Below are 26,851 nucleotides of genomic sequence, written 5' to 3'. Positions count from 1 at the left end.
AAATGAGCTGGGCGTGGTGGCGGGCGCCGGTAGTCCCAGCTACTTGGGAGGCTGAGGCAGGAGAATCGCTTGAACCCAGGAGGCGGAGGTTGCAGTGAGCCGAGATCGGGCCATTGCACTCCAGCCTGGTGACAGAGTGAGACTCCGTCTCAAAAAAAAAAAAAAAAAAAAAGAACTTTCTGTTGTGTTAAAGTTAACTAGCGAGGAGACTCTTGATTCCTAAGAAATATTAACCTTATATCCCCAAATATATTTCATGTGCAGTTCAACAAATGAAAGTTAGGTGCTCTGAATAGGTTTTGGGGTTAATGAGTCTATTAGAATACAGGCTTTTTGTATAGCAGCCTCGGAGAGCTAGCCCAGCCAGGCCCAGTTGCTGCTGTTTCTCAAGCACAGGAGGCTGAGAGTAGAGAAAAGTGCTCTGTAAGAAGGCTGAGCCCCTCACTGGAGGTGGAACTACTACCCTACATGTTTTGTTTGTTTAGATGATACGCTGAGAACCAAATCTACCCTGTCAGCTTACTCTTCAAGAACAAGCCAAGCAACTGAAAACTGAGTCCACGCTCAGCTAAGTCAAAGCCCAGGGGATTACTGGCATCACCACCCACCCCACCTGGAGCATGACAATGTCTGTGAGAGAATAAGAGATGGGTGGTGTCACCACTATCTTTCTCTTTCTGTTCTCCAAATTATAATAATAACAGTCTCTTTTCCTCCTCTAAACATTTTTTATAAAGGAGGTTGAACTCAGTTGAAATATCTTGAAATTACTGTGGCTGGTTTACAAGCCACTCTGGAAAGTTATGCTCTGGCATAAATTTAGCAGCTATGTTTTACTGTAAAAAGAAACCCAGGGACATAGCTTATTAAGAAAATGTGGTCAAAGTGAGAATTTTCTTTGGTTTTATGAATAAATATAGATATTATATTACAAAATTAGATTTATATCGTTGAGCTTGATACTAGACAGTAAATATTATTTCTTAGGAAAAGGTTAATACATCATTAAATTTTAAAAGTTGAACACAAAATCTCTAACAAATTAAATTTAAATATTTCCATTTCAATATCATTGCAGACAGTTCATGGTAGTGAAGTACATTGAGAAAACTTGTTCTTTAAGAAAACAAACTTCTGGGTAAAAGATAGTAATATATCAGCAAAAAAAGATTTTTATCAAGAGGGTTGAAGGCTATAGCATCATCAAGGTAAAGATCAAATAGCATGGAGGCTAAAATAAACCTGTGCTTTTTTGAGCGGGTGGTCAATAGAAATTGGCTCTGTTGCTGGAGATCCTGAATTTTAAATTCTGGTGATCAGGCCAGTAATATGCTGATGAAGCAGAAATGTCACAGCATATTTTACCAAGTCAAAGACAGGCAACAGTTATGAGAGGGACATGGAGAACCTGGTAGAGCTCTGTGTACTATGCTGAATTAATAAATAGAGAACTAACTTAAGGTGGACAAAACTGCTGGGTGTCTCTCAGGCTTCTAATGTTTTCAAAATGTATTTGAAGACTTAAAGCCTTATAATAATAAGAAGAAGAGTAGTCCAAGTTCTGTTTATTTCCTTTTAAAAGGAGTCAACACTTGAGGAGACAATTCTGTACTCCCACAACAGGAAAAATGCATCCTTTTACCGTGTGAATAATTGAACCAGAGTCATTGCCCACTCTTCAGGAAATAGCTCATGTAAACTTTTGGCCGACCTGTGCTTCACAGTGCACTTACCTCTTGACATCCACCTCTGTAAACTTTTATTTGTATTACCAAATATTGACTGCAAACAAAAAAAAAAAAAGGAAGAAAAAGGAACCTCCCTTATACAATTACAGAACGTTAGAGCAAAAGAGAACTGAAAGATGATCTTGTGCAGGCCACCATTTTATAGATGAAGAAACAAAAGCACAGAGTGACTTGCTAATGCTTCACCAAGCTGGCACAGCCTGGCCTAGAGCTACATTCCCCTGTGTCCCAGACCCACATGCCAGCACCAACATCATGGATCCTCTCTCTCTCTCTCTTTTGAGACAGAGTCTCACTCTGTTGCCCAGGCTGGAGTGTAGTGGTGCAATCTTGGCTTACTGCAGTCTCTGCCTCCCGGGTTCAAGAGATTCTCCCGCCTCAGCTTCTTCAGTAGCTGGGACTACAGGCATACTGCCACCATAGCCGGCTAATTTTTTTGTATTTTTAGTAGAGACGGGATTTCACCATGTTGGCCAGGCTGAAGATCCTCTCTCTTATTGCTTGATGAAAAAATGTATTAGGCACTGGGAGGATAGAAATTAAAGAGCCCCAATACTTGACATCTAGGAGCTCACAACCCAATAAGAAAAGTACACATGTAGACCACCCTCCAATATTTTACTGTACTCTGTACACTGTTGCTAGAATGATCTTTCTGAAAATACAAATTGTAATGTATCTAACCCTGTGTAAAACCGTGCAGTGGCTCCTTGTTGCCTGTAAGGTAAAGCTTTCCCCTTGTTCTCCAGCCTTCTGTCTAACTGGGTCTATGCTGATGCTCAGGATCCAGCCATAGAGAACCAATTGCTTTTCCCTAAATATAGCAGGCTTTTCCCTAAATATAGCAGGCCCTTTCATCCTGCCAGGCCTTTGTTATGCTGTTCTCTGCCTGGAATGACCTCCTCTCATTACCCTCCAGGAGGGTTATCTCTCTTGTAATAGATTTCCTTAGGTTTCTCTCCTTCCACCTCCAACCCCACAGACAGAATTAACCATTCCTTCCTTTGTTTATTTGTCCTGCCCATATTTCTCCTACAGCACCTATAGTGCTTTGTAACATTGATTTTTTTTTTTTTTGAGACAGAGTCTTGCTCTGTTGCCCAGGCTGGAGTGCAGTGGCGTGATCTTGGCTCACTGCAAGCTCCGCCTCCTGGGTTCACGCCATTCTCCTGCCTCAGCCTCCCGAGTAGCTGGGACTACAGGCGCCCGCCACCATGCCCGGCTAATTTTTTGTATTTTTTTTTTTTTTTTTTTTTTGAGACGGAGTCTCGCTGTCGCCCAGGCTGGAGTGCAGTGGCGCAATCTCGGCTCACTGCAGGCTCCACCCCCTGGGGTTCACGCCATTCTCCTGCCTCAGCCTCCGGAGTAGCTGGGACTACAGGCGCCCGCCACCTCGCCCGGCTAATTTTTTGTATTTTTAGTAGAGACAGGGTTTCACCGTGTTAGCCAGGATGGTCTCGATCTCCTGACCTCGTGATCCGCCCGCCTCGGCCTCCCAAAGTGCTGGGATTACAGGCGTGAGCCACCGCGCCCGGCCAATTTTTTGTAATTTTAGTGGAGACGGGGTTTCACCGTGTTAGCCAGGATGGTCTCGATCTCCTGACCTCGTGATCCGCCTGCCTCAGCCTCCCAAAGTGCTGGGATTACAGGCATGAGCCACCGCGCCCGGCCGATTGTTTTAAAATACATAAATGTACTTGCCATTTACACTTATGTCTTTCTCTACTAATTGAAGATAAGCTCCTTAAGAGCCATCTTTGTAAGGGCCATCTTTATCTTTGTACCCCTAGAATCTAGCTCAGTGCCTGGCTCAGAACAACTCCATTGAATGAACCATCCATAGAGGCCCTTACATCATGCTATGGGAATGCAACAGAAGGAGCAGTGAACTGTGCTTAGAGGAGTTGCCTTGGAAGCTGAAGCATGTATACCAAATAGAGGAACATCAGGGCAGGGCAAGGGTTGGTTCATAGCTGGTCGCCAGAATAGAATGCTCAAAGGTACAGGGGCCTGAGAAGTGGTGGAAAGGTTGGCAGGTTTGGGAAATTTGAGGATACCTGAGAGGATGGACTGTGGGATGTGGTGGTTTGCTGTTATTATTGTTATTGTTAAACCAGAAGAAGAGGCTATGAGTTAGTCAGGGGCTGTGTGTTAAAAGGCCTGGCAATTCATGCTGAGAAAGGAGTTTTGATTATATTACAAAGAGCTAAAGAAAGAAGAGTTTTGAAGGTCAGTATTCAAGAGTAGGGATGATTGGATATGCCTGTCAGAGAGAAAGGACAATGCAGTGACCAGGAGAGGTTGCTCCAGGGAGGAGTGGGACTGCATCTTAGAGTCTGGGTGGGGCATTGGTGATCTGAGGGTTCAGAGAACTGAGAATGGTCCAGGTGAAAACTGATGAGGGCCTGAGGCAAGGCAGTGGAGATGGAGAAAATGAGAATGATTGGAGAAATAAACACAGCAGTGGTGGAATGGTGAGTGGCAATCAGCTGAAGATGGGGAATAAAGGGAAATGAGGAGTCAAAAATGATCCCAAGTGTTTATCTTGAACGTTTAAGCAGATGGCGTTGTCCTGATATGGAATGCAGAAAAATAACATCGAGTTGAGTTTGTGATGCTTTCGAGATACTTAAATGAAAATGTTGAGAAAGCAGTTGAAATTACATGTCTCATATTCAGGAAAGAGTTGAGGGCATGAGTCTCTCTAGGTAATAACTGATTCCATAGGACAGGATGAGAGCATCTGAGAGCATGTGAGGGCGAGAGAAGGTCTAGAATGAGGCCCTCGGTTAAGGAGGAGAGAGAGGAGAATGAGACAACAAAGAAATCCAATGTGGAGTCATGAGAGCCATAGAAAAAGAGTTTATTCACAGGGAAGAAAGAGTTTGTAGTGTTAAAAATCAAAGAAAGGATATAGATTGAAAAAAAGGTCCTGAAAGAACTGTAATATAAGGCTACAAACATACTCATTGGGGGCTGGAGGAAGTCCAACATAAGCCAGCCCCAGCGTTGAGCCAGTGAATCGGAGACAAAAGGCTCCTTCTCTTTTTTAGTCCCAGCCAGTTCATAAGCCTGAGGTTGAATTGCAACTATGATTTATGCTAAATAGCTTTATCTAATTAGGGCTGGTAAAATTGAAGTGGTTGGAATACCTCTGGCAAGAACTTGATAAAAATTTGAGAGTCTTTCACGTTAATTTTAATCTTCGTTTGCATGAAATGGGATGGTTAAGGAGAAGTAAAAGAAAAACATGAAAAGGAAGGCACAATAAGAAGCATTCATTCTTTAAAGGAAAATGGTGTACCAAAGAGTCGTCCCAGAGCTCTTCCTTCTCCTGCCTCCACATAGTCTAAGGTCTGTTTACAGGAAAAACCTAAGCTAGCATGGCCAATATAGGTTTTAATGGGTGAGCCAAAAAAAAAAAAATGCTTTCATGGCAAAAATACCAAAAGCAATTTCAATAAAAGCAAAAATTGACAAATGGGATCTAATTAAACTAATGAGCTTCTGCACAGCAAATGAAACTATCATCAGAGTGAACAGACAATTTACAGAATGGAAGAATATTTTTGCAATCTATTCATCTGACAAAGGTCTAATATCCAGAGTTTACAAGGAACTTAAACAAATTTACAAGAAAAAAAAAACCCCATTAAAAGATGGGCAAAGGACATGAACAGACACTTCTCAAAAGAAGTCATACATGTGGCCAAAAACATATGATAAAAAGCTCAAAATCACTGATCATTAGAGAAATGCAAATCAAAACCACAATGAGATACCATCTCATGCCAGTCAGAATGGCTATTACTAAAAAGTCAAAAAACAACAGATGCTGGCGAGGTTGTGGAGAAAAAGGAATGCTTTTATGCTGTTGGTTGGAGTGTAAATTAGTTCAACCATTGTGGAAGACAGTGTGGCAATTCCTCAAAGAGCTAGAGGCTGAAATAACATTTGACCTAGTAATCCAACTATTGAGTATATACCCAAAGGAATATAAATCATTATATTATAAAGATACATGCATGTTTATGTTCATTGCAGCACATTCACGATAGCAAAGACATGGAATCAACCTAAATTTCCATCAATGACAGACTGGATAAAGAAAATGTACATACATACCATGGAATACTACGCAGCCGTAAAAAGGAATAAGATCATATCTTTTGCAGGGACATGGATGGAGCTGGAGGCCATTATCCTCAGCAAACTAACGCAGGGACAGAGAACCAAACACTGCATGTTCTCACTTATAAGTGGGAGATGAATGATGAGAACACATGGACACATAGGGGGAACAACACATGATGGGGTCAGTCAGAGCAGGGTGTGAGGGGAGGGAGAGTGTCGGGAAGAATAGCTAATGGATACTGGGCTTAATAAGCAGGTGACGGGATGAATTGTACAGCAAATCACCATGGCACACATTTACCTATGTAAGAAACCCCCACATCCTGCACATATACCCCTGAACTTAAAAGTTGAAGGAAAAAAAAAAAGTAAAAAAATGCCATCATGATACAATTAGGCACTTATAAAAAATGTGTTCCAAATCCCTCAAAAGTGTTTTAGTAAGGGGCTTACTAAGTATGGAGATTTCAAATGTGGTATGTGGATGGTGCTAAAATTGAGAGTAAGCATTTAGAAATTTTTAGAGCAAATCGAGAATGCTGTAACATACAAGCACATTGTCAGTGGACTCATGTCAATGAGCAGGGTATGGACTGGTCTGGGTGTTGTGGAATTCTCATAGTGAGTCACAGGTGGCATGACCTGTGCCCTAGTCATACGCAGGAAGACACTTAGACCACAAGCTTGGAAATTAAAAAAAAATTAACCACACAGATAGTTTGAAAATCACTGCTTTAGATCACAACCCATTTGTAAGTTAAGAGGCCCTACAGCTCGTTTGGTGCAAGGAAGTTGACAGAGAGCTTGAGCATACACCAAAAAATTTAGATATAAAGTGACGGGAAATTTGAAGCCATTGTAGAAGATACGAATTGGAGATGGAACTACCCAAAATTACCTTCTATAAGGATCTTCTAGATTAAATGCAAGCTAACTTATTCTTAAAATTGTTTTGTTCATTATGATATGAACAGAGTCTATATCAGAACCTGGAACATGGCAGGCACTAAATAAATATTTTATGAATATTGAATTAGTTGTTCTAACAACATCGTGGAGAATAGCTTGAGAAGGGTAAAGGCTAGAATCAGAAAAAGTGGCTAGGAAGACTTTAAAGACTGTCTAGACATAGGTTGATGGGTGGATTAGCCTAGTGGATACAGAGATTCAGAAAATATGAATCTAAGAAATATTGGGAGGAACTTCCAGTTTTTCCCATGTCAGTAAGCACATGGACATTCATCAAAGTCCAAATCAGAAATGTGGGGTCATCCTTGACTCTTCTCTTTCTCCTTGCTCCTCATATTTGGTCACTCTCTGAATCCTAAATATCGCTACCCTGCCTTCTCCTGCTATTCACACTGCTTTAGTTCAAGCCCCACCACGTCCCTCCAGGACTTTGTTATAGCTTCCTTAAATGGTCTCCCTGCCCTGGGTTCTTCCCCATTAAGCTTTTCTTCCAAAATTGAAAATTCAGTGTTTTTCCTTTTTTGTGTGAAACCATGAAATGGCTCCTGATTTACCTTCTAAGCTTCAGCATACCTAAGCTCCATGGTAGGGCTGCTCCTTACCAGGCCTTGTGTCATCTGGCACTTGCTTTGCATGCCAGTGCATTCTTCTGCTCCTTACTTGGTGGTTCTTAAACCAGACCAACACTAAACAACTGGTAACCCCTGCCCCAAGGGTTTGCCATGCTATTTCATGCCTCTGTGCCTTTGCTTATGCTATTCCTTCTGCCTGAAATGCTCTCACTCCCAGCACCCTGGCTGCTTTTCCATCTGTATTCATTTCCTGTTGCTGCTGTAACAAATTATCACAAACTTACTCTTTTTGAGGTCAGAAGTCTGAAATGAGGCTATTTCATGAGGCTAAAATTAAAGCATTGGCAGACCTTCATACCTCCTGGAGCTGGAGGAGAGACACTGTTCTTTGCCTCTTCCAGCTTCTAACCACAGTTTTTGTTTTTGTTTGTTTGTTTTTGGTTTTGGCTGATGGTCCCTCATTGTCACATCTCTTTCTCTGACACTCCTGCCTCCTTTTTCTATAAGGACCCCTGTGATTACATCAGGTTCGTCTGAATAATCTAATCTTCCCATCTTCCTTAAACGTAGTCATATCTGCAAAGTCCTCATTGACATGTACGGTAACATTTACAAGTTTGGGATGTGGATATCTCTGAGAAGCCATTATTCTGCTTACTGCACCACCCAACCCCAATTAGTCTCTTAAAGCTCTGCTATCACTTTTTCTCTGAAACATGTTCTGCTCAGAGCTAATCACTCTCTATTTTGTGTCATATACATACTACCTTCACTGCATGGGTTGGCTTGTATTGCACATAATAACTTTTAAAACACATCTACCTCTCTATTATATTTTGATTTCTTGAGGGGACAGCTTATTTATCTTTGTATTACCAGCGGTAAGCATGTTACATGGTATATAGCAAGTAGTAGGAGCTAAATTATACTTTTTAAAAATGAATGTCCCAGGCAGTGCAATGATCCATTTGAATGTTAACTAGACATGTAGGTTTAAATGGTGACTACAGTTGTGGTGCATTCCTAACTTTGCAGGGTCGTTGCCTACCACTCTCCCTGCCCACGCTTGTCTGCTTCCCCTCCAGTCACATGGCCTTTCTAACCTTCCTTGGTCATGCTGTTCCTATCCCATCCTCATCTCTCTGTCTGTAATGCCCTTCCTCCAACTTTTCTTTTCATAAATCCCTAATTCATTCTCAAAGCACAAATCAAAACTTTTTCCTTCTGCAATGCCTTTTATTTGTCTCAAGACAGAATTCATCACTTCCTCTTTTGAGTTGCTAAGACATTTTGTACAGATCTGTATTACATATTTCACATTGTGTTTTGCTTGGTTTTATATATGTATCTGTTCCATCACAAGAATGCACAAAAGCCATATCTTGTTTATATCAGTACTAGGCATATAGCAAGCACTCAATAATGTTTATGACCTTAAAGCGAACATATAAACAGATGAGAATGGAGGGGCAACAGAAAGGAACCAAAAGATTAAAAGAGTGCCTTTGATAAAAGATAAAGAGGAAGGAAGAGACTGAGAAGACCCTCAAAGACAGCATTCAGAAGACCCTAGAGGCAGAGTGTGATGAAGGCTGGAGTTAGAGTGGCTGACCTCTAATTAAAGAGGAGAATGTGAGAGGCAGCACCACATGCAGTGAGCTGCAGGCCTGAGAAAGAGAAAGGCTGTTGGATGTGACCACGAAGAGATCCTAATGGTTTTAGGAAGCATAATGAGAATGCCCAGTCAGGACCCTGGGTCTGCTCCTGTTTTTAGGTTAGGAGAGATTAGGTTAGGTTAGGATCTCCAGAGGATAAATGACTTGAGGAAAAGGAATATCACACCTCATATCCAATCAACCTGCTTGAATGCTTGAGGCCATGAACACCTCAGCACAGCTCCAAGTCAGTTTGGAAGGCTTGGTTCTTTCATCTGATACCACGACTTCAAAGTACTAGGAGATGTAGATGGTTCTCAGGGAATACAGAAGCCAACATAATGTATTCCCCTATAATAATCAGAGATTTTCATCAATAGGGCACAGTTGGCTGGGTGGTCCAGGCTCCTGAGGAACAAAGGCAAAATGTCTAAATCTGGCTTCAGAACTGAGAATAATTTCTCTTTCACGGAACTTTTCTGGATGATGATATTTCTCTATATAAAGCATTCTCTGACCCAGTGGACAAATATTTCTCACATCTCTGCCTGCCTTGAACCTTGCCCTCCTATCTTCCATCAACACTGCTGTCAGCTGTATTCTCCAACCTGTGTCTTGTTTGGCTAACCTGTATGGCCAACTGTCTGTCTTTACCTTTACAAAGCCTGATCTAGACAAACTTCTATGCTGGACATCTGCACTGATTTTCGCCCAAATCAATTGTCTAGCATCTATTTCTGTGATCTGCTTCTGCTGTGTCCTGAATCAGTCTGCTGTGGTCTGATAGGTTGCACATTCTCAATGGGAGTGAGAATTGATCTTGGGGGATAAAAAACAACTTAATTTTTTAAATGTACAAAGTGCAGATATACATACAATGCATAAACCGATATCACAATATATCTGCGTGTATTAGGGCTCTCCAGAGAAACAGAACTGATAGCATATATTATATATAGATACACAGAAATAGATTTATTACGAGAGATTGGCTCATGCAATTATGGAACCTGTGAAGTCCCATGATCAGCTGTCTGCAAATTGGAAGCCCAGGAAAGTTACTGGTGTATTATAACTCCAGTCCAAGCCAGAAGGCCTGAGAACCAGGAGAGCCAATCCTGTAAGTCCCAGTCCAAGTCCAAAGGCCCCAAAACCAGAAACACTACTGATATCCAAGGGCAGGAGGAGATGGATGTCCCAGCTCCAGAAGAGAGAGTGAACTTGTGCTTCCTCCACCTCTCTGTTTTATTCAGGCCTTCAAGGGATTGCTTGATGCCCACTCACACTGCCAAGGGTGATCTTTTACTCACTCTACCAATTCAAATGCTAACCTTTTCCAAGAACACCCTCCCAGACACACCCACAAATAATGTTTTACCAGTGATCTCAGCAATCCGTAGCCCACTAAAGTTGACACACAAAATTAACCATCACACTATGGTACCAAAATTTGATAGAGGAGAGCAATTTTTAAAAACATCGGAAAAGCCTCCTTAGGAAGGCAATAATGAAAAGAAAAGGGTTGAGAAATATTGTGATAGGTGATGAGGCTGCAATTCCTGTAACAGAAGGAACATAAGGAGACTGGATTGTGAGGAAATGGAGGTAGTCACAGTTATTTGACTGAGAAGTAGACTACAGAGAGAATTCCGATGAAGCAAACAAATTATGAGCACTTATTATGTGCCATGAACTGTGTGAAACCCTTTCACATTTGTTAGCAAAGAGCTTCTCCTTTAGTAGTAATGTACATATTCCTTGCAGAAAAAACAGTGACATTTTCCATTGAGACAGTAGCGCACCTATCTCTCCTCTGCTTCAGCAGCCTTTATGCTAATTACTGTTTTGGAAGTAACTCCTCATTCACTTTTTGCAACATAAGATAATGAGAAATACAGCCCAGATTTTGTTTGTAGAAGCTCCTTTCATGGCAGCCTTTCAACAGTTTGGGTAATTTAAAAGATGCAGTTGTAATCGTGACTAACTCATTAAGATGCTTGATGAGCATCTTAATGAGTTAAAAAACCTGGACATTTTTAACGCACTTTTGGAAAGAGGCAAGAAAAATATAAGAGTGGGAATAATCCAAGGAAAACATTTCAAGTCTTTGAACAATAGACCCTAGAATTTCCTTAGCTTGAGATAGGTTAGGACAAGAAAACAGAATGTTGCTTAAAAGAAGCCCAGTGATCATTTGTGTCTACTTGCACTTCTGGAATATGACTTTTGTTTGTTAGTTGGTTCATTTTGACTTAAAAAGTGTTTTTCGGCCAGGTGCGGTGGCTCACACCTGTAATACCAGCACTTTGGGAGGCCGAGGTGGGCAGATCACAAGGTCAGGAGATCGAGACCATCCTGGCTAACATGGTGAAACCCCGCCTCTATTAAAAATACAAAAAATTAGCCAGGTGTGTTGACGGGCGCCTGTAGTCCCAGCTACTCGGGAGGCTGAGGCAGGAGAATGGCATGAACCTGGGAGGCGGAGCTTGCAGTGAGCCGAGATCGCTCCACTGCACTCCAACCTGGGCGACAGGGGGAGACTCTGTCTCAAACAACAACAACAACAACAACAACAAAACCCACAACATTTTTCTTTGTTCTCTCTCAGTACTCATTAAGAATTTACTACTGCGTCTTTAGATTTTATCTCAGGCAGATCAATGCTATGTATTTGTCCCCTGTACTTGATCCCTGTGCTTTCCTTCTCTCCTACTTTCCTACTCTTGTCATGAGTGCTGAGGCAGGGATGATGTTGGGGTGGAAAGCTGAAGGGCGAAGATGAATGAGCCACAGTGTCCACTTAGAATCTACAGCCAACTCTTGGCAGCTTATCCGTGGTAATTCTTGTTTCAGCTTCTTGTTGACTTTATCACCCACTCAATGTGCTTAATTCTATGATGGATGTTATCACCAGCTCTGTTTATTCACAATGCCAAGAACACCAGTGGAACAGGGAAATATTCAGGAAAACCCACTTTATGGTGTCAACTTGACCAGAAAACGAAACACAACTCCATCATTGCTTTATTGAATTTGGCATCGTTCTAGAAATAAACTATCATTTATATTTTGTCAAACAAAAAGAAGAGGAGAAGAGATTTCAAAAGCACTGCTTCTGGGGAGGGTCTGGATCAAAGGTAAATGTGTGACTTTAGGTGACAGAAAAGCATCTCCACTCAGATGCATCCAACTTTGAGGGGGCACTGACTACAGGACAGTAGAGACAAGGGACACTCATGAACAAGCAGCTTTTCCAATTCTGGGTCCTTTTCAAACTGTAGTATCAACATATATTTTTAAGTTTCATAAATTCTTGGAACATTAAACATATCCATTCAAACAGTTCTTTCAATATGGTGGATATTTGTAGGCTGCCCTGGAAATCAGAACACCTTGAATTTAATTCCTGCTATGACACTGGCTGACTCTGTAACTTTCACCTTTTTTAGTTCTCCAAGATGATATAAATAATGGAAAACATATAGGACTCTAAAATGGTTGCAACATAGGTTCAAATCTGACCCCTACCACTTGTTAGCTTGTCAACATTGGATAAGTTATTTGACTTCTTTGAGCATCAGTATCTTTATTTGTTAAATGGAGATAAAGATATCTTTCTTGCAGGAATGTTGTATGGATCTAATGAGATCATGTATGCAAAACACCCAACACATAGTTGTCACTTTATAAATGGCTGTTCTAGTAGCCATTTGCACAGAGATGGGGAAAGGCTAGGTGACAAAAGGCATGGGCATTCTGAGCTCATCAGTTGATAGGGCTTCCTTAACGCCATAGCTTTATTAGAGAAGGAGGAGGATACAGCCCAGCCACATAGGAACTCAGGCCTCTTTTATTTCTGCAGGATCTGGTCACCACAACAATCAGAATGTGCAGGGGTAAGACTAAGGAAGAGAGAGAGAGGAAGAATGGATGGTGGGGGGGGGGGGGCGGCTCTCTTCTTCCTAGCGGCAGAGAATCCCGCAGTATTCCTTCAGTTGCAGAAACTAAATGGAAGGCAAATGGCTGTCTGCTTGTGGTGCATGCACCAAGACAAACTACTAAAGTGTTTCCTGCCCAGTCCCCACAGGTGTTGCTTCTCAGCTTTGGATAAGTCCTCCAGCAAGTACTTTGTTGAAAGCGAGAAAGGCAGCTGCATAACTCTCCAGTCCACAGAGCTGACAAATCACTGTGTCATCAAAGAAGAGGGAATCATGGGAAATAGCCTGTGGTTCACCCTCTAAGGCAGGGAGTCAGGAGGCTGTGAGGTGGCACATTTGATTCTTGCTCATTAACATAGTTTCTCTTTGTGTCCTCCTCCTCCTCTTTGCCTGCTTGCCTGTTCCACTGGGTAAGCAGCAAGTGCCTACTCAAATCATTATTTATCAAATGTGTACTATGTTCCCAACATTCATTCAATACACCTATATTGAAAGCCTTTTATGAGAATAACAAAAATAACAAGATAGATTCAGAGTAAGATTCAGAGACTGAAGCAAGTCCGCATATAGTAATCACATGTTCAACTAGTTGTTAAGTGGTATATATAATACATAGAAACCAACCGTGGAGGACCTCAGGGAAAGGAGCCAGGAAGCTGAGGAAGGCTTTGGAGAGAAGATGACATTGGAGCTAGGCCTTCACCCAAAATTCCATAGGTGTTGGTCCATTTTGCATTGCTATAAAGGAATACCTGAGACTGGGTAATTTAAGGGGAAAAGGGGTTTATTTTGGCCAGGACTGGTGGCTCACATCTATTATCCCAGAACTTTGGGAGGCTGAAGCGGGTGGATCACTTGAGGTCAGGAGTTTGAGACCAGCCTCCCCAACATGGCAAGAGCCTGTCTCTACTAAACATAGAAAAATTAGCTGGGTGTGGTGGCACAAGCCTGTAATCCCACTTACCCAGGAGGCTGAGGGATGAGAATTGTTTGAACCTGGGAGGCAGAGGTTGCAGTGAGCGGAGCTTGCACCAGGGCACTCCAGACTGGGAAACAGAGCAAGAATTTGTCACGAAAAAAAAGAAAAAAAGAAAAAAAGAGGTATGTTTGGCTCACAGTTCTGCAGGCTGTAGGTGAAGCAGAGTGCTGGCATCTGCTTCTGGTGAGGGCCTTGGGAAGCTTACATTCATGCTGGAAGGCAAAGGGGAGCCAGTGTGTCATATGGCAAGAGAGGGAGCAAGAGCGGGGGGGGTGTCAGGCTCCTTGTAAACAACCAGGTCTACTGTGAACTAAAAGAGTGAGAACTTGCTTATCACCAAGGGGATGGCGCTAAGCCATCCATGAGGGATCTGCCCTCAAGATCCAACACCTCCCATTGGGCCCCACCTCCAACATTGGGGATCACATTTCAACATGAGATTTGGAGGGGACACACATCCAAACCATATATCACTATGGGTCAACTATATCACTATGGATCCAGGGGAGGATGGGATAGGGGAGGGGAGGCAGCAAGGGCATTATAGGCAAAGGGAAGTGCACATATGAAGGTGAAGAGGACATGAGCCCACAGCATGTCTGGGGACTGGCTGGTAGCTTGATGTGCCTGGAACAAAGGCTATGCAATCCTGGGCAGCAGCAGGGGGAGAGGTAAATGTGGTCGGAATGCCAACGATTTTCCATGCCAGTCTGTCCAGTTTGGGCTTTAACTGTAGAGAATGGGGAGCCATTGGTGAGTTTTAAGTATGAAGTGATGGGTTTATACTTGTATTTTGGACAATCCTGTGGGCTTCAGAGTACTGAATGGACTAAAAGAGAGGCTAAAAGCTGGGAGACAGTTAAGAGCTCACTGAAATTGCCAATGATGTCAAATGCTGCAAACTCATCAAGGAAAATGAAGACTGAGAATGAGTTCATTGCATTTGACAGTTGGAGATCTTTGGTGACATCTAAAAGTAATTTCACTATAACGACTGAAGCAGAAGCTGGATTACTAAGCCAGTAGTTCTCAAAGTGTGGTCCCTAGATCAGCAGCACTGGCATCACTTGAGAATGTTATAAATGTAAATTATCTGGCTCAACCCACACCCCTTTCAAAACTTTGGGAATGAAGCCTAGCAATTGGCATTTTTACAAGTCTTCTGGATGATTCTGATAAATGCTAAAGTTTGAGAACAACTAGCCTAAATGACTCTTCATCTCTTCCCCAGACGTTCCTTACTCTGATGACACCTGAATTATTTGATATTTCCTAAGTAATCATTAATATGGTTTCTCAGTTATCTGCATAAATTGTTCCTGTCAGTCATGTGCAATATATGTACAGTCTCTGCCTGATAATATTGAACTCATTGTTCAAGGCCTAACTCAAATGTCACCTCCCTAGGAAGTCTCTCCAATTTCCTCCAGGCAGCCCCCCATGGATACTTGTGCACATATTTATGTCATAAAATGTATATTATTTGTTGTGTTGATTTGGTTTACTATCTTCCCTACTAACTAGAAGCTCTTCGGGAGTAGGGACTGCTTTATCGATCTCTATTTCCATATTGTTTTTACATCTTAAGTGCTCAATAAATGTAAGAAGAGGAAGCTGTAATAAATTGCAGAAATAAAAACAGAAAGGGACAAACCACTGTTTTAAGAGGTTTGGAAGTGAAAGATGAATTTGAAATAGAAATACAATAGAAAATGTGTGTGTGTGTGTGTGTGTGTGTGTGTGTGTGTGTGTGTGTGTGTGTGTCTGGAAGAAAACTGTTGGCTGAGGGATTAAGCCAGTAGAGAGGGAAAGATGAATGATGAGACAGTGGGAATCAGTGGGTATTGAATGCAAAATGGTCCTGGAGAAGGCAGAAGGGAATTAAATCAATGGCCAATGCTGAAGAATTAGCATTGAAAGAAGGAAAGACTCTTTTTTTCTGAGATACAACACAAGGAAGTAAAGGTGGGTACATAAGTGATGAGTTGTGAGGTTGAGATGGGAGATGGTAGGGAGTCCTTAGATGGCCTGTCAGTGTAGAAATGGTGAGGGCTAGGGAAGGTTTTGCAGGGGAGGTGATATTTGAACTAGGAGATGTCTTTAGTGAAGTAGGAAGTGAAGCCTTTTGCTGGGAAGAAAATGGGGAACAGAAAGAAGGAAAGAGGCTACAGCAGAGAGGTGAAGACTTGTAAATGCTAGGGAGGGGATTGGAGAACAACAGCAGGGGATTCTTTAGGGCTGATCCATCTCCCTGATTCAAGACAAAGAAAGAGTCCACTTATTCATCCAATTGTGATTGGCAATAAAAGAAGTATGGAGGGATTGTCCCCAAAGGCTGTCTTTGAAATAAGATGGACAACTTCTGGATACAGATCCCAATACTAATATAGAAAGTATTCTAGCTCTATATATTAATTAAGGCTGGAATATTTTGCAGACAATAACAATGCTATGTATGGCAACTATGTACAACAAAGGAAAATATTTATGGTATATGAATTGCCTAAGAAATCTGGATAAAAACTATATGTATGTCGGCCAGGTATGGTGGCTCACGCCTGTAATCCCAGCACTTTGGGAGGCCAAGGCAGGTGGATCACCTAAGGTCAGGAGTTCGAGACCAGCCTGGTCAACATGGTGAAACCCTGTCTCTACTAAAAATACAAAAATTAGCCAGGCATAGTCACGTGCGCCTGTAATCCCAGCTACTAGGGAGGCTGAGGCAGGAGAGTCACTTGAACCTGGGAGGTGGGGGTTGCAGTGAGCCGAGATCGCACCACTGCACTCCAGCCTGGGCGACAGAGCAAGACTCCATCTTAAAAAAAACAAAACAAAACAAAACTATATGTATGTCTTGATTACAACTCTGTAAGAACATACATATGAAGAACAAATGAATAAAACACATGAAAATGCTATTAGTGGTGGTATTATAGGTCATTTTTCCTTTAAATTTTAAATTGATGTTTTAATGTTTATAATTAGTTGGCAATAAATAGAATTTTTTTTCCTTGCTGGCTTTAAAAAATTTACTAGGAACACTTAGAAGAGAGTATTTCAAAATAAAAAGTTGTAAGGTGAAAACAATCAGTAGAATTGTATGAACACCTCCCATATAAGGGACAGATGCCAGGAAAAGAAGTCCTTAAGTTGAGCCAGAGTTGGAAGCTGACAAGCAAGAGGTTGGATGCCACGATATAGAAGAGCACAAAAGAGGTATATGACCTAGCCCTTGACTCACAGTAAACTTGAGAGACTAGGCTTACAATAAATGATTCGAGGATAACTTATTCAGTTATCTAAACAACGGATGGGACTGGATCACTGAGGCAGTGACCTGTGGGCAGGCGGGACAATGCAGAGGTCAATTATGTGCCATCGGAGTTGATCAGATGGACCTGGGCTTAAATCCCTGTGCCACTGCTTAGCAGCTGTGTGATCTAAGACAACTTACTCAGGTTTCATTTTCTGCACTGTGAAGTAGAAATAATAATACCTTCTCATAAGCTGTTGAAGCATTACAAACAATAAAGCAGGTAAAATTCTTAATACAATGTTTGACACACAAAATTGCCATTATCGTTATTAACGCTTTATTGTTGCGTCATCTATGAGTATTTATGATGGAGGAAACTGATTTAGACTAGGGGCACATTGAATTCTTTGGAGGGACTTCAGGGAGGTATCTTAAGAGCCGTGAGAGAGTCTCAGGAGGCAGTGAAGACTCCCTCACTGCTGGAACAATGCTGTGGGCTCACCCTAGGCCTTCAGGAGGGGAGAGAGATGTGCAAGGAGGAACTCCATGGTGGTTCTTCTTTTGCTAGTGTTTGTGCTACTTCCCCACTTCTAAACAGGTGCATAGTACTCCATAGCACCCTTTCATCTTCCTTTCCCACTCTTCTGTTCTGTTTTTCTTCTCTTCAACTCTTCTTACTTCCCTTTTCTCCTCAAAACCAAGTGGTGGATGGGTAAGGAACTATACTATCTTTTGTGTGTTCTAACTTTGCCGTTTTTTTTTTTTGTTGTTGTTGTTGTTATTGTTTGTTTTAATTTTTGTTTTTTCTTGAGACAGTGTCTCACTCTGTCACCCAGACTGGAGTGCAGTGGTGTGATCACAGCTCACTGTAACCTCAACCTCTGGGGCTCAAGTGATCCTCTCACCTCAGCCTCCTGAGTAGCTGGGACCACAGGCACAAGACACATGCTAGGCTAATTTTTAAATTTTTCATAGAGATGGTGTCTCGCTAGGTTGCCCAGGCTGGTCTCGAACTTTTCGCCTCTTGTCTCAGCCTCCAAAGTGCTGGGATTACAGGGTGAGCCACTGCACGTAGCTCGGATATAATTGTTGAGTAGCTGAATAGGAGACCTAAGTCAGCCTTGAAAATCACCTGTTCCTGCTTATTTTCAGGGATCTCTTTCCTATTTGCCAATAAACACATTTTAGTGGACTAATCATGAATCGTTTTATGGTTGGCCTCACATTTAAAATGTTGGTGGTGCTCCTCCTGCCCTCCAAAGCCCTTTATGGAGCACATTAACAGAGCCCTGCCAGCGTTACAAGCTGGGCCCCACCTGAGGTTGTCTCCATTGCCCCCTCCACCCACTTTACTGGCCACAGAATGTTTGTGCTTTGGTGTTTTCATCAGTTGAGTTCCTTTTGCTCACCAAAGAAACACCACAAAAGACACTTTTGCCAGAAAACCTTTCTCCTCCCTTGCTTCAAATACATCACTTTACAAAGAGTGTTTTAATTAAAACAGCTTATAAAAGTTTATGCTTTGGATTTTTTTCCTCCCAGGGAAACAGTATTCAGGCTGCATAGAGTCATTCTACTTGGTGGGATGACTGTCCTAAAGATGTCCTTTCCCTAAGCCCAATTTCCCCACCAGAGAGAAGAGCCTGCCAGGGTTGTTAGGGCCGAGAAGATGGTCTCAGATGCAGCAGCGTGCTGGGCCCATTGCAGAGTGCTCAGTTCATCTTCTGGGTAGTCTGTGTCTGGTTTCATGCCAGGAGGGAGAGCTAAAGGGAAGCTACAGAAGCATCCACGGTTGGCAGGACTGTTGGACATTTGCGGCTTCAGCAGGGTCACCCTGTTTGGTTGAGCAGGTTGTTTCTGTACAAGGCAGCGAGCATCTAGGGTCTGAGTCAGGGACTGAGATCCAGACTGTGCCAGGCTTGACCTATGCCTGCCATGGGGCTGGGTATTAGTTTCCTGTGGCTACTGTGATGAACTGTCACCAGCTGGGTGCCTTAAAACAACACATTTCTTCTCTCACAGTTTTGGAGGCCAGAAGTCTGAAATCAAGGTGTCATCTGGGTTCTGGAGGCTCAGAGGGAGAATCTGTTCTTAGCTTCTGGCGGCTACCAGAAATCTTTTTTTTTTTTTTTTTTTTAATCTTAAAGGTTGTCTTCTAACTTCAGCACTCAGAGTTTACATAAGTAAGCCTGGGTTTACCCTACCCACTTTTTCCCTTATTTTTAAAATATCTATTTCCCCAACCATTGTCTTTAGTAAGTACTCTAAAATGACAGTCATCAGCAGAAACGCAAGGATTCCAGGCCATAAGAGTTTGATCAAGAAAGGATTTTTTGAGGTAGCTATATCTTGCAAAAGAAACAGAGGTGTGAACTGTCTGCAGGGCTCTTCTCGGCAATGAGGTGTTCCTTCTGGATTCAGATATAGATCTTAATGGGGTAAACATTCTAGGTCTTACCACCATCTGTTCTTCTTTTTCTGCTTAGACTGTTAGTACCTGTTATAAGAGGAAAGGAGGCAAAAGTGTGAAAGAAAAATGGTTGGATCAGTGGTCTGAGAAAGAGGATAAAGTAGTCATGTGACATTATTCTTAACAGAGATTAGAATGATTAAAAACAAAAACAAGTTGGTATCCAGGATATTCAGGTACAACCACCCCTTACCTGCTGATTCCAATTTCACATTCCATTCCACATTGATGAATAATAATAATGATGTACTTTTAGCTTTGTCAGAAATCCTATCTGCATATTTATAAGGTCATTATGTTTAGTTGTTGCTGATACCTGGTCTGAGTCCAGCAATTACCACCTCTGTCTCTTTGCACACACTGGTAGACATACACACCACTGATTTGTACTTTCCTATAAAATTACTCTTCCCCTTTTTAATTAGAGTGTTTTCAGAAGCAAACCCTATCGTTAAGGCCATGTATGCTTCCATTATAAATACCTGTTTCCAGCCATTAATTATCTCCCAATGAATTACTTACTTAGAAGGAGATTTTTAATGCATTTTTTTTTTTTTTTTTTTTGGAGACAGGGTCTCACTTTGTCACCCAGACTGGAGTGGTGGAGTGGTGTGATCACGGCTTACTGCAGTCTTGACTTCTCAGGCACAGGTGATTCTTCCACCTCAGACTCCTGAGTGGCTGGGACCATAGGCGTGCACCACCATGCCCAGCTAATTTTTGTATTTTTTGTAGAGTTAGGGTTTCAACATGTTGCCCAGGCTGGTCTTGAACTCCTAGCCTCAAGTGATCCTCCCGTCTTGGCCTCCCAAAGTGCTGGGATTACAGGTGTGAGTCATTGTGCCTGGCCTGTGCACACTTTTTATAATGGGATTTCTCTTCCTTACTTTTGATGTCCCCTCTCTCATACTTAGTTAACCATTTTGAATTCCACTTAGTAAGAAAAGTTTCCATTTTCTTTTTCTTCGGGGGACTTAGATATGATCTGCACCTAGATGGTAAGAAGATTTTCCATATTTTGAAGTAGAAACTTTCTGTATGCCTGAATCTTGCTGTCAAGAATGTCTTGGCTAATTATGAAGGAAGAATATAAGAATGTGAGTAAAAACAATTCAACAGTCCCTGAGAACAACGTCAATAAATATTCAAAATTGCATAACCATTTTAGTGACTAAAGCACTGAGACTCATCCAATAATACTGTGGTTTGATAATTACACAGTTGTGAATTTATGATACTGTTAAATTGGGGAGACATCTTGGTGCATACAGGTCAACCTTTTCATACATCATTATATACAAAAAGTACACACCTACTTAGGAATTGAAGTGTAATACCTCCTAGCATAAAATGCTTAAAAGAAGATTTTAAGGGAGTGATACAGTGAGCATTCCTATATGAATTTTCCTGCTTATCTCAAGCATAGCAGAAGATGTGAAATTTCTAGGTAAGTTTTTTTTTTTTTTTTGACAGGGTCTTGCTCTGTCACCCGAGCTGAAATGCAGCAGTGGTAACATGGTTCACTGCAGCCTCAACCTCCTGGGATCAAGTGGTCCTCCCACCTCAGCCTCCCGAGTAGCTGGGACTAGAGACATGCATCACCATGCCCAGTTAGTTTTTTAATTTTTTGTAGAGACAGGGTCTCACTTTGTGGCCCAGCCTGGTCTTGAACTCCTGGGCTCAAGCCATCCTTCTGCCTTGGACTCCCAAAGTGTTGGGATTACAGGTGTGGGCCACTGTGTCCTTCCTTAACATAATAAAATTGAGATAATCACATTCATAAAAGGGCAAAACTATGTCAACAAGCCCACTGTATTAGTCTGTCTTCACAGTGCTGTAAAGAACTGCCCAAGACTGGGTAATTTATAAAGGAAACAGGTTAACTGACTCACAGTTTAGCATGGCTGGGAAGGCCTCAGGAAACTTAACAATCATGGCAGAAGGCAAAGGGGAAGCAAGGTACCTTCTTCATAAGGCAGCATGAAGGAAAATTAATGCAGGAGGAACTACCAAACACATAAAACCATCAGATCTCGTGAACTCGCTCATTATCAGGAGAACAGCATGGGAGAAACCGCCCCCATGATTCAATTACCTCCACCTGGTCTCTCCCTTGACACATGGGGATTACAATTCAAAATAAGATATTGGGTGGGGACACAGGCAAACTATATCGCCCATATTACAATTACTTACATTACTGATTCCCTTAATTAGAGCAGAGGTAATTAATTGGGTCTAGGCTCAGTGGAAGGGTCTGGCTGGTTCTTAATTCTCAGAGCTAGTTTGAATCTTGAGGTTAACGTCTTGCCTTCTAGAACTTGTCCTGTGTTTGGCTGAACTCTGTGAACCTTTCAGAAAGTAGGTCTTTATTGAGCACATACTCTATGCAAGGCAAAGAACCAACTACTGTGGAGTTTACAAACATGAATAAGGGGTAAGAAATGACTCTTGTCACATGGTTTACAGTCCAGCTGTGTGGGCCACCACAGTTCATATCTTTCAGGCTGGGGACTGGATGAGAGGAAAGTGGACTCAAAATTAATCCCAGTGCTCTCTACTTTCCCATATCCCTGTGCTTTATCTCTGTTGTAGTTATGTTATTTGTATGTTGGCCTGCCTCACTGCTCTGTGATCTCCAAAGAACAGGGACTAGGTTTTATTTATTTCTGCATTGCCGCAGAGCCTAGTATGTGCTTTATAGAGAACAGGCTCTCAAAAAAATTTTAAATTAAAAGAATGTATTCACTTGTTTATGTTTCCTAGTTACAGTGGGCCAGCTTGTTCTGTGCTAATATGGAAGTGACAAGAAACTGGTGTCCCTCTACGCAGAGGTCCCCACACTAAATATCATCTTGGATGTGCTTCACATTGTTGCACAAAGGTACAGTGGAGTGAGACTGAGTAAGAGGACAGAAATAGTGGGGGGTTTGTCTCAGCTCACTAATTACTTATTTAACCTTGGGCAAGATACTTAAAGCTCTATCTCAGTTTCTTCATCTGCAAAATGGGGATAATAATGACTGGGGTGCCTATTTCCCACGACTGTTTTGAGGATCAAATGAGATAATATAATTAAAAGTGTTTTTGGAAGGTCTAAATCACTGTGCAACTGCAAGGCATTATTAAAAGAAATCTTCCTTTTAATTCCTGCTTCCACAAACATCTCATCACATATCCTTGGGTTCCTGGGTTACATGGAGAGATTCGTGGTGTAGCTCAATCTATGTGTCATAGCTATCCCACAATCTCTTCTTCAACTTCTCCAACACACCAAGACATTCTTCCAGTCTTGCACTGCTCCCCAGTTTATATAGATATATATGTTCCTCATTCAGCATTTATGTAAAACATATATTATTGAGCACTTATGTGATAGAAACCGGGGCAAAACAGAAAATAAAACAGAGTTTTATTTTGAGAGTTTTTTACAGCTTGTCGGCTCTGAGAGGACAGACATGAGAACAAATAAGTGCCCAATTCTGCATTTATTTTGGAAGGCAGTTTTATGTGAGTTTAAATCAGTAAAGACATAGATGTATATTTTTAGTTTTGATTAAAACTAAAACAATTGGTAGCCCTTACTCATATTTTTCTATCATTAAAACTTATCTTTAAAAAATGTCTTCAGTCATATTTTTCCCTTACTTCCATTCATATTTACTCTTTACTTCTCTTGTCCTTACCAGAATGTATGCAGTAAGTTTTCATATTGTAACACATTCAACAAAAGTTATATGTGAACATAATAGCTGCTTTCTTTAAAACGGTTACTTTGAGAAACTGCATACCTATTTTTTTTTTTTTTTTTTGAGACGGAGTTTCACTCTTGTTGTCCAGGCTGGAGTACAGTGGCACGATCTTGGCTCACTGCAATCTCTGCCTCCTGGGTTCAAGTGATTCTACTGCCTCAGTCTCCTGAGTAGCTGGGATTACAGGTGCTCGCCACCATGCCCGGCTAATTTTTGGTATTTTTAGTAGAGACGGGTTTTCAACATGTTGGCCAGGCTGGTCTCGAACTCCTGACCTCAGGTGATCTGCCCACCTCAGCTTCCCAAAGTGCTGGGATTATGACATAAGCCGCCACGCCTGGCCTGCACATTTATTTTAATAATGTTGTCATAGCTACAGTCGCTTCTAGAGTTGCTCTTTGGGGATAACTATCTTATATTCTTCTGAATATATTTTAATAGTGACAAAACTTATCTTTGCAGGTGATTTTTAAAATTTGTATGCAGCCAAGTCACTATGAATTATCTTTAGTGAGTAAAGAGGAAGATCGAACTGGTAACACTGTGGGTAAACAACTGAAAAATAATGTTATCTTTCTCTGAACATACTTGCACAAGACAAATTCCAAAAATATTTTGACTACGTTATTTTTGAAAAGGGTTTCCAGTATTTCAATGTGACTACTTTCACTAATGATACTTGCTTACCTAAAGTGCTTGTTAACATGCAGTTTTGGAACTTCATAGGTCTATGCCCATACTGACTTGTACTTGCTTAGTGTTGTTTTACATTCTAGTTCAACATCTATTATGTGATAGACACTGGGGATTAATAGGCTGTGGTCTTTGCCCATGAGGACCTCAAAACTTAGTTGAGAACACAGAAATACAAAGAGTCCTGTGTGAAAAATAAGTATCGGTGTTAAGATAAAGAAGCGGCAGTGGAAGACAGTGGAGGGACTGTCTGTTAGAGGGAGGAATTTATTGTGGTGTCGGCAAAGCCTTCTTTGGACTGAAGGATGAATTATGATTAGAAGTTCATTAAGAGGAGGAGGGAAGGGGACTACAGGAGTCATTCCAAGCCAAAGGAACAAAAGATACAGGGACAGAAACAGCAAGATATGTTTGGGGGAATCTCAAGTAATACTGTTATTGTGTGAAGTTCACAACAGGGGCAGGGAGGACAGGAGATGGGGCCCAATGACGAAAAGGCCTTGTATGTACCATGTTTAGAAGTTTGAATTTTATCCTATAGGAGTCAGGGAGAGGTTCTATGGGTAGGATTTCTCATCCCAACAGGATTGTAAACTCCCACATCCAATTAGTCACACCTCCATTTTTTTTTTCTGTTTCTTTAACATTGTCTCAGATTCATTCCTTCTGAAATCTACCTTATTAGTTCAGGTCTTCTTAAATTTGTGCCTGGACTGTTCACCAACTCTTGACTGGTCCTGGGGCTCCAGTTCACCTCTTGCTCCCAACAATCAATTTTCTACAGAATTATCAGAGCAATCTTCCTTTCCATCAATCTCAACTCTGTTCAAAAACTTTCAATAGTTTTATGTGACCTAAGAGGTAGCTGCCTCCCCACCCTTTCAGCTTGCCATTCAAGGCTGCATAATTTGGTCCCAACCCCCTTTCCGTCCTTGACTCCTCTCACTGCTAACAGAGACAGAACTCATTTACTTACTCTTCTGACTGTACCTTTGCTTTCACGAGGGCTCTTTCCTGGAATGATATGTCCATACAACTATTGTTGTTGTTCTTACTTTTAGCTCTTTTCTTAGAAGCCCACTTGTACCCAGGTTTGATCACACCCCCTACTCTCCTGCCCTGGAAGTAACTACTATTCTGGTTATAGTCTCTTAATATCTATATCTATATATATGCATCCACAGATAATGTGTAGTATTGTCTTGAAAAAAATATACATAAATGGTATACTTTGTCTCCCTCTGCGATTATTTTCACTATCATTTAGTTTTTAAGATTTATCCCTATTGACATAAATAGCTATAGTCTTTTCAATTACTGTGTTGCATTTCATTTTATAAATATACCATACATTATTCATCCATTCCTCTAAGGGTGGGCATTTATGTTGTTTTCAAGGTTTTGCTATTACAGTGTTACAACGAATATCCTTAGCTTAGCTGGTCTCCTTGTCTTATACAAATTTTACTGACCTTTCAAGATCCTGCTTTCATCCCAGCTCCTCTGGGAAAGCCTTCCCTGAATCCCCCAGCCCACAGCGGCAAAGTCTTGGTACTCAAAGTTGCTTGTGCATCTTTGGTATCATCCCACTGCCAAGCACACAGCTACGCAAAGTAAGGCACTTAAGAAATATTCGCTACACGGATGAACAAATGAATGAATGAATGGGGCAGCACCACTCCGTGATGGCTCTATTCCTTTTTAATGGACTTTGGCGCCTTGGCCCACTTTCCTTCTTTGACAGCACTGGTCCTACTCCAGAGCATTCCTCTAGCTAGCAAAGCAGTGTGTGGATGTGTGGGTGTAGGTGGCGATACAGACCTCACTGGATGAGGACCGCCTCTCCCTGCAAGTTCACGATCCCGGCAAACTCCAGTGCTTGAAGTTCAGAGTCCTACCCCACCCCCCTCACCCCCACGCCCCTTCTGCACTGGTCAAGCCAGCGAGCCGCTGCAGCCCTGATCGAGTTAAGGCGCGGCGGCCCCCGGGGCCGCTGGAGAAGGATGCGGACGGGGCCAGTGACTCGTAGTAGATCCCTCCGCGCGGAGCTCGGGCCGGCGCTTCTTCCTGCGGGAAACCCCTGGGTGCCCAAGGCGGCGGGGCCGAGGCCGCGGCGACAGTGGGGCGGGGCTTGCGGTGGGAGGAGGCGGCTGAGGCGGAAGGACACACGAGGCTGCTTCGCTGCACACCCGAGAAAGTTTCAGCCAAACTTCGGGCGGCTGAGGCGGCGGCCGAGGAGCGGCGGACTCCGGGCGCGGGGAGTCGAGGCATTTGCGCCTGGGCTTCGGAGCGTAGCGCCAGGGCCTGAGCCTTTGAAGCAGGAGGAGGGGAGGAGAGAGTGGGGCTCCTCTATCGGGACCCCCTCCCCATGTGGATCTGCCCAGGCGGCGGCGGCGGAGGAGGCGACCGAGAAGATGCCCGCCCTGCGCCCCGCTCTGCTGTGGGCGCTGCTGGCGCTCTGGCTGTGCTGCGCGACCCCCGCGCATGGTGAGTATCGGGCTGAGGGGCGCTGTCCGCGGCGCCCGGGGCTGCCACCTGGGGCGACCCTTCTCCCCCTCGGTCCTTCTCTGTGTGGGAAGGCCAGGCTCGGCCGCCGGCGCGGAGCGAGGCCACTCGCTGGGTTCCCGAGAGTTTGGACATCGCCGGGGGCCCCTCCCGTGGTGCCCCGCCAACCGCCGGGGTTCC

The 26,851-nt window shown here is 42.6% G+C and overlaps 1 protein-coding gene and 1 long non-coding RNA gene across 8 annotated transcripts in view, besides 1 other annotated feature; one reads left to right on the top strand and one right to left on the bottom strand.

The window, feature by feature from the left end:
- NOTCH2NLB (notch 2 N-terminal like B) overlaps positions 1-26,851 on the top strand; it is a 112,254-nt gene that overhangs the window by 6,424 nt on the left and 78,979 nt on the right. For 3 of the 7 annotated variants that reach the window (NM_001364008.2, NM_001364007.2, XM_047420702.1), the window contains exon 1: positions 26,369-26,653. The exons of the other annotated variants lie outside the window; for them this stretch is intronic. In NM_001364008.2, the coding sequence (NP_001350937.1) occupies positions 26,651-26,653 (3 nt within the window). In that variant the 5' untranslated portion in view covers positions 26,369-26,650. Of the gene's footprint in view, positions 1-26,368; positions 26,654-26,851 lie in introns of those variants that run through there. 7 annotated transcript variants of the gene reach the window in all.
- Positions 17,572-26,215, bottom strand: LOC105371223 (uncharacterized). Its single transcript, XR_922063.3, has 2 exons — positions 25,988-26,215; positions 17,572-19,748 (listed from the first exon to the last, which is right to left on the bottom strand). It is a non-coding gene; the product is annotated as an uncharacterized LOC105371223 (long non-coding RNA).
- Positions 26,476-26,525: an enhancer, noted in NCBI's record as "active region_1650". NCBI's record gives its function as "activates an Ori minimal core promoter by ATAC-STARR-seq in GM12878 lymphoblastoid cells {active_cell/tissue: GM12878}" and the evidence as "EXISTENCE:reporter gene assay evidence [ECO:0000049][PMID:35858748]".

The sequence above is a fragment of the Homo sapiens genome, chromosome 1 (genome assembly GCF_000001405.40).
Source record: "Homo sapiens chromosome 1, GRCh38.p14 Primary Assembly".
In the NCBI taxonomy this organism is placed as follows: Eukaryota; Metazoa; Chordata; class Mammalia; order Primates; family Hominidae; genus Homo; species Homo sapiens.
Note: the sequence above shows the minus strand (reverse complement) of the source record. Positions and strands in the feature narration are given on the sequence as shown.